We start from the raw sequence: 12,849 nt of genomic DNA, 5'->3' as shown, positions 1-12,849 counted from the left end.
GCAATTTAAAGATAGTGTGGTTCAAAAATAAAGACAACTCCCAACTTTTACCCTCTCCTGAACTTTGGTATTTGTTTATCCAAGTACTGGATTGACTCATTAGAACTAGGTATTTGGAATTATATTTCAGGAATTCATAACTGCTTTTAATTACTGTAGCAAATATCTAAGCACAAGAAAATAAACTACAAAAAGATTAACAGGTATTAAGTACTATTTGACAGTGGATTCAAATGCTGTCAGATCTAAAAACTCAAGTCATGCATTTTCCAGCTGTTTTAAGTCTCAGAGCAGAGCTGAATGTCCTGAAAACTTATGTTTCTACAGAGAAGATTATTAGCACCAACTGGGAATTGTCAGGTTGGCTCCAAAGTGGCTAATCTCAGAGATGCTGCTCCAGGAAAAAACTTTTTTCTCATAATTACAGGAGATTGCAACCACGGAAAAATAAAAGGCAGGAGAAATGGAGAAGTAGATACTCTGGAAATGTAATCTTGGTTAAAGAGAGAGAAACCACCTGACACAGAGAAAACAAAAAGCTATGTTTCCTCAGCCATGCACACAATTTAGTCCTGCTATTCTATTCTGTGAATATCTGAAAGGGAGATAGTCGTAGCTCACATTTTTAACCTAAATAGAATTACCTTTTGTGACTGTTGGCAACCTAGATTTGCTTAGAGTTTCTAGATATGAGTGTGAACTTATTTAAAAGTATTTTATTGTATTCAGGTTTTTGGTGCCTATTTTAACATTTTTTTCTTGTTTAAAAAATGCTCATTTTAGAGAATTCACACTGAAAAGCACAAAGAAAAAAACTAAAATCACCTCTAACATCACCATATCATTAACATTCTGACATTATTTCTTTTCAGTCTTTTTCCTCTGCTTGTATGATGACTCCAGACCTCCATCTAAATTTTCAACAGGTTGTCTTTCATGTCTACCCAGTGACCTCTAAACATTTTTGATATGACTGAGGGGTCAACCCCCTTTCTTATCATCACTTTGTGGAGAAAATACCAGGACTTTTAACCATTGGCTAGAATGCTCCATTCTGGGTACTGTTACCTTTACTGCTGACAAACTCAGGAAGTCTGCAGCAAGGCCAGTTCAACGCAGGACCCTGGAGGGAGGTTCTTCAGTAGAACAAGAGTCTGGAGGTCTAAAACATTCATCACTACATGAAACACAAGTCTCACTGCCAGGTCACTGGTAGAAGTTTCTCTGGAAGAGGAGGCTTAAAGGCAAAAGGAAGGTCCTCCTTGCATTGCTGCTCAGGCCATGCAACTACAGCCTGGATCGCTCCTTGTATTTGCCCACTCAGCAGATACACCGGGTTTGTGTCAAGGCCCTTCTGCTGGGGTGGTCAAGTCAGGAGGAGGTTAACGTTAGCTGTACATTGTGCCTCAATCCAGCCTCTCCCTGGAACAACTTCAACCCTGGTTTTGGGCTCAATACCAACTATCAACCAATCTAAATGCAACTTTGTCATCACCAAGCAGAATGTTAGTGGAGCTCTATAATGGGAATATTGGAGAGGTTGCCTCATCACCTCCCTAAGAACTTGACCATGCAGTGGGTTAATGGGGGTGGGCATGTGCTTTATTTATTCATTTCATAAATACCACTGACTCCTATTTTTTTAATCACACTGTGGTGTCAACCAATCTCTTCTGTCCTTCTTCTCTGAAATGATTCAAAGCACGTTGCTGCAAGTGAGTTATTGTAAATTGTCTCTTATTTATTAAAACAGGATTGAATACAATTCTGTAATTACACAGCAGTTTTGTTTTTTTTTTTTTTGAAGGGAGACATGACTTTATTAGAAAAATAAAAAACAACTGAGGCGAGGGGTTGGTCTTCAGCGGATGCCTTGGTGGATGAAGCTGCTTTTGGCTGCACTGGCCTTCTCCCGCTCCCGCCGCCACACAGGGTCCAACTCAAAACAGTGCCATAGCCTCGGGGTCTCATCTGCTGCTGCAGATGCCACTGTGGCCCCATCTGGGCTCATGGTCAGAGTCAGGACCCGGGATGTGTGACCTTTGAGTTCAGCCACCTTGGCCATGGTTGGGTACTTCCAAATAACCAGCTGGTTCTGTGCAAAGCCATGGCCTGAGATGAGCTCCTTGTAGTGGGGAGACCAGAGGGTGGAGCACACCTGGGAAAGGGCATCCACGGCACTCAGACAGGCCCCAGAGCACACGTTCCAGATGCAAATGTGTCGATCACTGGTGCCCCCTCCTGTTGCCGGGACATTGGACTTCCAGGGACACCATGCTACGGCCTTGACAGCCCCTTGAAGGGTGAATGTCTGCAGAGGAACCCAGCCACCCTCTCCAAGAGCACTAGGCCACACTTTGACCAAGTTATCATTGCCACCACTGGCCAAATGTCGTCCATCTGGGACCCAGCGCAGCCCACACACTTCCTGGCTGTGGCCACTCAGTGTGGCCACGTGGTGTTCTGCTACCCGAACATCATGGTGGTGGATGTGGCCAGAATGTGAACCACTGGATAGGATATAGCTGTTCCAGCTTAGGGAGCCCACTCGGGCAGAGTGAATGGTCATATTTCGAAGCCGTTTCTGCTGCTGCACATCCCAAAGCTGCACCTCAGCACTGCTGATGCCCACAGCCAAGTAGTTGCCCTCTTTGATCCAGGCCGCAGAGGATACATATTTCCCAGTCTGCTCCATTTGCAAAAGCTGCAGGATGTCACCAGAGCTTGCGCTCCACAGGTACACACTGTTGTCCAGCGCCACGGCCAATACATTCCCAGAGCTCCAGTCCACAAGATTCAGGTAGTAGTCATTTCGGATTTCAGGGGCATCCAGGTTATGGTCTGGCAGGGAAGGAATGTAATGGTAGGTCTTCCGGCTGGAGCCAGGAGTGGCCTTTTGGCTGTAGAGTACTTTCAGTCTGTTCTGGTAACCCTCTGGCGCATTTTGTGGTTTTCCACTGAGCCGAAGGATCTTGGCTTCCTCTACATCAAAACCGTTCAGGTTCAAAGTCCAGGCTTTCTGATGTTCCTTCTTGGTGGGCGTCTGGCTGTTTTCAGGCTGGTTCTCCTTGCTCAGGAGGAAGCTGGCAACCTCCATCTGGGCAGCACTGCGATGGGGGATATAGCGGTCACCGCCAGGTTTGCTAGGAGTGGTCTGAACCTTGGAACTGGATTTGCCAGGAGTTCGGCCCGGAGTCCTGCTGGCGCTGTGGGATCGGTTGGCGGCCCGCATGGGTGAGGGGGCCGGGCCTGTGGCTTTCTTGGCTTTGCGCTGCCAGCGAGCAGGGGGTGCATTGGGGATGGGTGCATCCAGTTGAAGCAGCGAGTGCAGGTCACTCTCGAACGCGAATTGTGCCAGGGGAGCGCCCGCAGGGGGAGGGGGCCTTGCAGTTGGTGACTACGGAGCCCGTGCCCTCCGGAGCAAGTTGCAGTTCCGACCCTAGACAGCAGTTTTTAAAAGCATCAAAACAAAAAACAAAAAACAAAAAAACCAGGCAATGAGTGAATATCATTGTCAGCGCCATTGCTTCATTATCAAATGGTTTTCAGCCACAGCTTATTCATGATGGTGTAGACACTGTTTTGAACATAAATAAATTATATTTGGGTACCACGGTATAAAAATCTTGAAAATGTTTTGAAATATACGCAAAAATATAAAACAAAGGATGATATTATGATAGACACATACATGTGTATATTCACATATACATGTATATATATGTTCATTCATGTACATTTCTATGTGTGTATATAAATATGAGTACATTTTTGTATATATACATAAATGTATGAGCACCAATATTTCTCTCTCTCAGGGAACATTCCTATATACCTATTTTTTAAAAATCCTGGTTAAAGAATATATTTTCTACCTTGCAATATGTTACAATTGAAAGTGGGCATTGTTAACAAAATAGAAGAGAATAATTCTACAGAGAACATCTAAACCATTCACACAAACAGCAACTAATACCCATGAATGAACAAACAAAATATGTACACTATTTGTGTATGATGGTTGATTTCATACTTAGAGGCCCTGTATAAGAAAAAGGACAGGAAGAAAAAGGCTTTTCATATTCAGGAACATCCTGATACTTCAAGAAATATGTGAAGGAAAGAGAGGAAGGGGTGGGCCAAACATCACTGGGATGAAATTTCTGGCATGAAAGAGTGCGGGTGACGACCTGATGTTGTGAGTGAAAAAACACATGAAAGTATAATGCAAACACCAGATGGCTTGAGAGAGAGAGAGATTTCATAGGTCCTAGGAAGAGATGGGACATTTGCAGGATACTGACAGCCCGTCATCTTTCTAGAGTATTGAGAAAAATTCAAGTTTTAACCTATATTTGTTCTTTATAGAGTCCCTTTATGTAATTCTGCTTTAAAACAATTCTTTCAGAAGGAATAAATGCAATTTATTTGCTATCCAATAGAGCTACAGGGATTTCCATCAGTGACTTCTTCCTTTGAGAATAATTATCTCGGGAGTTAAACAGTACAGACATTATGGCATGTGAAGATGCCTCAATGGCTTTGCAGGAAAAACAAGTTTGCACAACAGCAACAGACAGCATCAGAAGTGGCCCTCTGAAAGAGGAACAGGATTGGGAATTCCAAATCAAATTTTTCTGCTCCTAAACCTTATAAACCTTTCTTCTCTGTGCTATTTGCTCCCCATCTTCAGTCCCCAGTGAAGATGTCCATCCTTTTACCCTAAGATATTCTTGAAATTTATTTTTGGAAGCAGTCTTCCTTCTCTCTGGCTCTAATCCTTTCTCTTTCTTCCCTATTAGAGTCCAACCAGGATGGCGACTTGACTGGATTTTACAGTTTCATTGACACGCATGAGCTCTATCAAACTTCTGGGAGTTTTTCTGAAATGTTTACATGGAAGGCACCTGGAGCCCATTGAATTTCCCTCTTCAAATGCTTAAGTTTTCTTCTGTCTTGGTGGCTACTGCCTCCTTCTCACTTTCTGCCTTAGGTCAAGATAAATGAGTTTTTCCCCAAGAAAGCCATATGGATCTCTGAGGTTTTGAACTCTAACCAATGCTATCTCGTTGATTGCCTTTGGATTTCAGGGTCTTATTTTACGTCAACCTCAGCCTCTCTCTTCTGCAGTTCCATATCCACATGAGCTACAAGAGTCCCATGTAGGTCCCTTCCTCTGCTAATAGCTGCCTCATTGTACTGCTTCTGTATTCACTTCAGAGATAGAGGATCAAATGGTAGAAACTTTTGGCAAACTTTTGACCAGAGAATGGCTTACATGGGAATTAATTATGCACTTGTTCGTTTTACTCTATAGAACAATCCCATCTGTATTGGATCTGTATGTTCCATCTCCCATGTGAAAGAAGCACCCTACAAAGATAACTTCAGTCTGGGCACAGTGGCTCACACCTGTAATCCCAGAACTTTGGGAGCCTGAGTGGGGAGGATCTTTTGAGCCCAGGAGTTCGAGACTAGTCTGGGCAACAAAGAGAGACCCTGTTTCTAAAACAAAAATAAAAACAAAGATATCTTCCGAGCCTGTTCAGTCTTTGGTCCTGGTTTAGATATAGGTATATAGAGAGAGCTATTTGAGTAATCAATTCCCAATATGGTATGATTTGAGCATTTGGAGAGGTCTTCTTTACATATCATAGTACTTAGATTATTACCAATAAATATTTTTCTTTTGGGGTTAACATTACAGTAATAATATATTTTGAATCTAAAATTTGGATGGAGACACAGGACACAGAATATATAATGCTCAAAAAATGTAATGCTCAATGAATGTCTCTATCATATTCTTTTTTGTTGTTGTTGTTGTTATATAGATGAGGCCTTCCTATATTGTCCAGGCTGGTCTCAAACACCCAGCTTTGCCTCCTTATGTGCCAGGAAAACAGGCCTGAGCCACCAAGACTCTCAATATATTATTAAAATATAAACAAATTACTTGAAGTGGTACCCCTCAAAATAATGTCATTTTCACTTTAATGTAAATTAGTCTTACTATAAAATCACTTTCCTGCTTTCAACAAGTTGCAATGTAAGACGGGACATTTTCTGAAATGGAGAGAAGATAAACATGAAGTAAGAAGCTTTGTCCCCAGCAGGCTTTTCCTGGCAGAAAATATGGACATCTGGGTGGTGTCATAGTCAGGAGGCCAGGAGGAAGGATTTGCCAAAATGGGTAAACTGGGCAGTGCATGAAAACTGGTGCCTTTGCTCCTATGGGCCATCATCCTGTTGATAGTGAGGTACCAAGAGAAGTGCTGATGGTAAAGCCCTGTGTCCTCCCCATCCATGATCTTGGCCGAAAGCATTAACCTCCGAAGAGTCTCGGTGCTTTTAGAGACTTCCTGGTCTGAAGTGACTGCCTGTTGTGGACAAAAGCTGAAAACAAACAACATAAAAACAAACTAAAAAGGTCAGTTACTCAAGGATCTAGACAACTAGCCAACACCTCCACAAACAAATGGGAGCTTAATAGACTTTGCAAAATTACTTTTTATCCAGTTGTTTTTTTTTGCTTATTTAATAAAGTTGAAAATACAATGCAGTTCTGCGAGGCATTTTTTTTTTCTTTCATTGTGTCATTTACTGCTTTGCTTAAGGGGGAAAAGTCTTTTATACTCTTGCCAAAAAAGAAGCAGGGGAGGACTAAGAAGGAATGTTTTATTTGGGATTCCTGTCTGTATCCGTCAAAATGAAAGAATTGGCAAGATGATATTGAAATAATGGTGGATAGTCTTGCTGGCCTCATTTTGGACACTTTCTTGAAAAGGCTGCTTATTAGATTATGCAAAGCTCTTAAAAATTCAAAGAACTCTTACTTTGACAAAACATTTTTCCATCATCTGGTTAGAATTTCTGGGCCAGTTAGCTCAGATCTACTATTTCCTCCCCATGTGTTGTTCTGCAAACCATGAGGAGAGAGGGTCATTATTTCGCAGGAGTCAGGAATGAGATGCAATTATGGGGCCTGTGGACAGGAGAGATGGTATCTTCTCCCAAGCTCACTAGCATAGAAGGCCACTTGTCTACATTCAGGAGCTGCTGACTGAATTTGGCCTGGTATATCCTACAAATGCCTTATCAGCCAACTCTCCTCTTCTGTTTATTTAGAAAGAAGCCATTGTGTGATGTGGTTATTCTTATGAGGCCTGCAGAACAAGTGCTGCCTTTGACATGCTGAGTGTGCAGTGTACACATATGCCCTCGTCTATGAGTTCACATGCACACAAACACACGCACAGCCCCAAATGCCCTCCTGCCTGGTATGAAAGGGAAAGCCTCAGATGGGGGCCTGCATCTCTGTAATTCAAGCAGATGGATTTGGAGCTGGCCAGAGGGTTTGCTCTCCTCAGTCTCTTCCTTAATATCTTGGGGGTCAGTTTAAATTGAGAAATCCAGTGTATAGGAACGCTGGAATAGCTGCAATTTGGGGTAATTTGCCTGGGTTTCCATTTGTGCTTTCTTTGGCTTAATCTGCTTAATTGAGACCTGAACTCCGGCTGGCTGCCAGTATTCACAAAGCATGTGGGCACCAGACTGATTGACCTCTATTTCTGTCAACCGAAAATGCCATCTCTCCCACTCCTTTAGCCTCTCACCCCAGGAAAAGTCGTGTACTGAACCTACTTGCCTGAAAATGAATTAAAATTTTCAGTAAATAAAGAGAGAAAGTAGATGTACCCATTTTCACACTTATCCCTCATTCTCCAAAGATGGAAACATGTTAACAAAAGAAATGTGTCATCTAAAAGGGAAATCAATACTGGGCCAAAATTCATTCTCATTTACCAGAAGAGAGTTCACTTAGAAAGAAATATTCAGACACGTATTGACACGTCTGCTAGCAGCTCCCATCCTCAAGCAGCCTTGGGAATTCCAGACAAAGTTTCCTGGACCTTATTTAACTCGAGAAAGGGAGAGGGATGCATGTACAGTGTACTCTCATACAAGACAGCATGAAAAGACATAGATCTATTTTAGACGTAAAAGCAATCTGTACAGAGAGGGGATTCATTTTGTTCTGGGAGTTGGGGAAGGAAGGTTCATGGAGGAGTCCCCTTCTAAACTGAAACTCTCTTCTGTCAGGAACATACTGCGCACAGACATGGAATAGCTAAATGGGAGCACTACTTTCACTTTCCAGGTGTGAACTGAAAAATACCACACACACACACACACACACACACACACATATGTGTATAAATATATATGTATGTGGTATGTGTGTACATGTATATACGTATTTCTATGTGTGTGTACATATGTAAATGTACATATATAAGGAGTGAGAAATTGTTGGGTTTTTTTAATACTGTCTTTAAAATGGTATCTCTTTTAAATTGTTGAAGCATTATGATAAATTTAGGAGATGTTAAACAATACTTAATTTATGGAGATATAGGCATATATGCCATTATTGGTCAGCTTTATATCTACTTACTGAGAGAATAGACATAATTTTCCACCATGCTTATAGCTATATGTGATAAGAAAAATTGTTGTCTTTCTATTAATTTCAGTATTTTTTCTTTCAGCAACACTACTACAGAGGTGCTCTACCTTACCTTCAAATAATATGGCTGGAAACACTGGTGGGATTTCTGGCAGACAGTAGCTATATCTGAGGTTCATATGTGGCAGGTGCACAACCAGCCCAGTTGCAGCCTGCGGTGGTAGAGCATGACTTCCCTCGTTCGAATCCTGGCTCTACCTTGTTCACACTGCCTGATCCTGTAGTTACTTTAAGCTTTAATTTTCTTCTCTATAAAATAAAGATCATGACTAGGCCTACCTCTTGGGATTGTTACAAGTCTTTAGTGGGATGATAAGGTCAGCCCAACATATCTGTGGGTTCTGAATCCAAGAATTAAACTATCTGGGGATGGAAAATATTTGGAAAAAAATAACAGTACAAGAGGAAATAATATAAATAAAATACCAATATAGTATAACGATTAATTATATTGCATTTACATTGTATTAGGTATTATAAGTAACCTAGAAATTATTTAAAACATACAGGAGGATATGCATAGGTTATACCCAAATTTATTCACTTTATATCAGGGACTGGAGCTTCAGCAGATTTTGGTATCTTGGGGGTGTGTGGAGGGTGGGGGAGTGAGGAAGTGGTCCTGGAACCAATCCCCCATGGATACTGAAGGATAACAGTATATACTAAACATATTGTACAATCCTTGGTACAGAGAAAGCATTCTAAAAATGTTATCTATCATCATATACAGAGTGTAATAAATACTTGGACACACAGTACACAACTTAGACAACATAATTATGATTTCCTTAGAATTGTTTTATTTTACTTTTCTAACCTGAAAGTACAATTAAATTACTAGAATATCATAGAGAAAGCAATTGACCAACACTTTCTTTTATATGTATAGTATTGACTTTATTTCCAGTTCTGCTGTGATTCAAGTCCTGCTAAATCAAGGGCAGGGAGATTGGTAAAGGCTGGGCAAAGGGATCTTTCTCAATTGCTGCAGTTCATCAAGACAGATTCGATATCAATGAGAACAGTATTTTGAGAGTCTTATTATCCATAGTGCTTCTATCTAATGAATCACAGGAGACAGGTCTCCATAACTTAACAGAGCATTCAGGTAAATTCAGTGAAAACAAGTCATTATTGGATGTTTTGACTTGTAAAGCTCCTCCACCAACTCCTGAATTCCTTGAAGTTATATTCATCACAGTACCTCCCACAGCTCATGGCAGCACGTTGGGCTCTACCTAGGACTTTTGCCATGAAGAAGGAATGAAACAAATGCAGCAGCTCCCTATAGTTGGGTGCAGGTCACATGATGTATGACTTGGTCAGCTTGAGCCAATGACACAGAGTTATGTGGCCTTTGCCTGCTCACGAACCTTCAATAGCTCTCTCTGACCAAGAAATCAAGCCCAAAATCTTTAATCTGTGTAGAAAAAGATGATATTTGCAGTCTTTCTGCAAGGCAGTAGGTTAGGCTCTGAGAATACAAACATGAGCGACTCAATCTTTGTGTTAGGGAGCAGTGCTAGTGCCAGAGGGCCTAGGAATGTTACCTATTAGAGATTGATGGGAAAGAACCCAGATCATCTGGGTTTTTCATCTGAGAAAAAAAAAATCATAAATGCTCACAACGGTGTGATATGGACTATTGTCTTAAGTATTTCTAAGGAAACGCGAATATTCAGTTAACAAAGTTTCCATCCAACATGAAGGTAGAGAGTGGAAAGATAGACAACAGGGACTGGAAAGAGTGAGTGGGGGCAGGGATAAGATGAAGAGAAGTGGATTAAAAGGTACAAACATAGAATAAGACAGAAGAAATAAATTCAATGTTTGATAGCAGAATAGGGTGACTATACTTAACAAAAATGTATTGTACTTGGGTGGTAGACATCCTAAACACCCTGACTTGATCACTATGCCTTATATACATGTAACAAAACTTTTCATGTACCCCTAACAAATTAACAAACAAAACAAAACAACCCAAAGGTTCCAACTAGTTTTATAATTTCAAGATATTTCCACTCACATTGTGAAGACTTTCTTGATCACCCTGCCTTCTCATAGTCTAGTTCTTTATCTTTCAAATTTCTAGAACAATGGTCATCTGTGTGCCTTTACTGGCATAGGACACAGTAAGGTGTAGGGTTCATTATGTTTTCTGTATAAATGCACCAGCTCCCAATCTTGATTCTAAGCTTGGTCAAGCCCTAGATTCTTCTCCTGTGATGAAACATGACTCAATCCCAACATAAACATCTATGAACACCTTGCCACCTCACAGTCCCTTGTCAAGTGAGTACTTCATTCTTAGTAGGCCTTTTGGGACTTAAATTAGTCAATATGTGAAGTTTCCATGTTTCTTGGTTTCTGCAGTGGTGATAATGTTTGGTTAGCAATATCCCAGTGTACTTTATTGCTCTGCAAGAAATTCCCTCAGGCCTGTAGAAGAACATCCTTATGCTGTATGTCAGACAAGAGTTATTTTAGTTACCTGAACTGAGATACCACTGTCTGCTGAGTAAACATTCTGTTCAGGGGTTAATGTGTTCTCTCTGAACCATTGCTCCAGGAATTTGGAAGATGGATAACTAGACTATCAGAAGGTAGGGTGATCAAGAAAGTCTTTGTGATGTGGGTGGCAATATTTTGAAATCATAGAATTAAATTGAGCCTTTGGATTTGGGGAGGGTTTTGGGGGTGTTTTATTTGTGCAAATGTATGGGGTACATGAAATTTTTGCTACATTTATATACTGGGTGGGGTCTCTCCAGTTTATGTTTTATGTTGTATGTGAAGCTACTGTGACAAGTAGAAAGAAGGAAATAATGAATTTGAGTAAAAATTAATAACAAAGAAAACGAATGTACAAATAACACATTTACGAATAAACAAGTATGCCATAAAGAGACTTGAGAATACCAAATGTAAGTTATTGAAAAAGGAAAGTAAAATTGACAAACCTGAGGTATGACAGAACAAAAATAATGGTCTAAAAAATAGATTGAACCTTCAGTCTTTGCAAAAATGGAAGATCGGGAACAAGATCTCAGGATCAACCTGAAGCAAACAAAACAGAAAAAAATATGTGAAATAATGGTTTTCAATACACTGGACATCAGCAATGAAACACAGTGATCTATGAGAGAAAAGAAAATAAATCAGGTAAGGCAGGGTTGTTTCACAGTTCTGCCTTACAAGAGATTCCAGGCCATGACCTGGGGTTGGAGATCACAGTAGAGTCACCAAGTTGAGGAGTCAAAGCTAAAAATCTGAATAGATGAAAGTGGCTGGAGTTTACTGGGAAGCATACTAGAGAGGGCATCTGCACACAGAGATCTGTAGAGATTTTCCTTTATTTATTCAACAGAGCAGTAATCAGAGCATGTTTGTGAAGAAACTGCCCAAAGTTGGGGAAAGAACTTCCCTAAAGACTTGGAAGGAGCAGTGTCTGGAACTCACATAAGGCAGGTAATGGTGCCTGTACTCACCATTAAACTACAAAAAAATGTAATTCACCTAGCATTGGGTAGAGTATTTAGAAGGGATTTAGCTCAGTAGTTTGAATAATTAGCACTAGACTGAACACTGTTCTGGTCCTTTTTAACAAATCTTAAAATCCAGACCTAAAAGGATCAAACTGTCTGCAAATAACACAATTGTATTCCAGAAAAAAAGCTCAAGATATTCAAAAGAAAGCAAAAAGTATCCAGAGCTCAACAAGGTAAAATCCACAATGTCTAGCATCCAATAAAAAATTATCAGGCATTTAAAGAAGCAGGAAAATATGAACCATAGTGAGAAGGAAAAAAATCAAACAATCAAAATATTAAACATTGCAAAAGGAAAGACTGGTGAGTTAAAGACATCGCAAGATAAACTATCTAAAGTAAAACGCAGAAGAAAAAATGACTCAAAACAAGAGAAAATAACAAAAACAACAGAGCATCATTGATGTGTGGAACAACATCAAATGACCTAATATACCCGTAATTGAAATTTCCAAAGAGGGGAAAGATGAGACAATGACTTTTTAAAGAAATAATGGCTAAACCTTTTTCAAGTAGATAAAAAGCTATAAATTCACAGATTGAAGAATCTCAATGAACTTCAAGCCGAAGGAACATGAAGAAAACCACACCAAATTATAATGTAGTAAAATTACTCAAAGTCTGTAAAAAGAGAAAATCTTAAAGATTTTTCTTCCTCTGGAAATAATGCCAGCAAGAAGACAATGGAGTAGCATTCTTAAAATACTGAAAGAAAAAAAAGTCAACATAGAATTTCATACCTAACAAAAAATATTTTCAAAAATA

The 12,849-nt window shown here is 40.2% G+C and overlaps 1 long non-coding RNA gene and 1 pseudogene across 1 annotated transcript in view; one reads left to right on the top strand and one right to left on the bottom strand.

Annotated features, from left to right (window-relative positions):
• The window catches only part of LINC02893 (long intergenic non-protein coding RNA 2893), a 33,676-nt gene extending 27,114 nt beyond the window's left edge, over window positions 1-6,562 (top strand). The window contains exon 2 of the long non-coding RNA NR_027471.1: window positions 4,803-6,562. This is a non-coding gene — a long non-coding RNA (long intergenic non-protein coding RNA 2893). The remainder of the gene's footprint in view (window positions 1-4,802) is intronic.
• On the bottom strand, window positions 1,803-3,439 carry CDC20P1 (cell division cycle 20 pseudogene 1; annotated as a pseudogene).
• Window positions 6,563-12,849: the final 6,287 nt, after the last annotated feature.

The sequence above is a fragment of the Homo sapiens genome, chromosome 9, assembly GCF_000001405.40.
Source record: "Homo sapiens chromosome 9, GRCh38.p14 Primary Assembly".
Classification (NCBI taxonomy): Eukaryota; Metazoa; Chordata; class Mammalia; order Primates; family Hominidae; genus Homo; species Homo sapiens.
The sequence above is the reverse complement of the archived record's forward strand: the minus strand, read 5'-3'. Positions and strand labels throughout refer to the sequence as shown.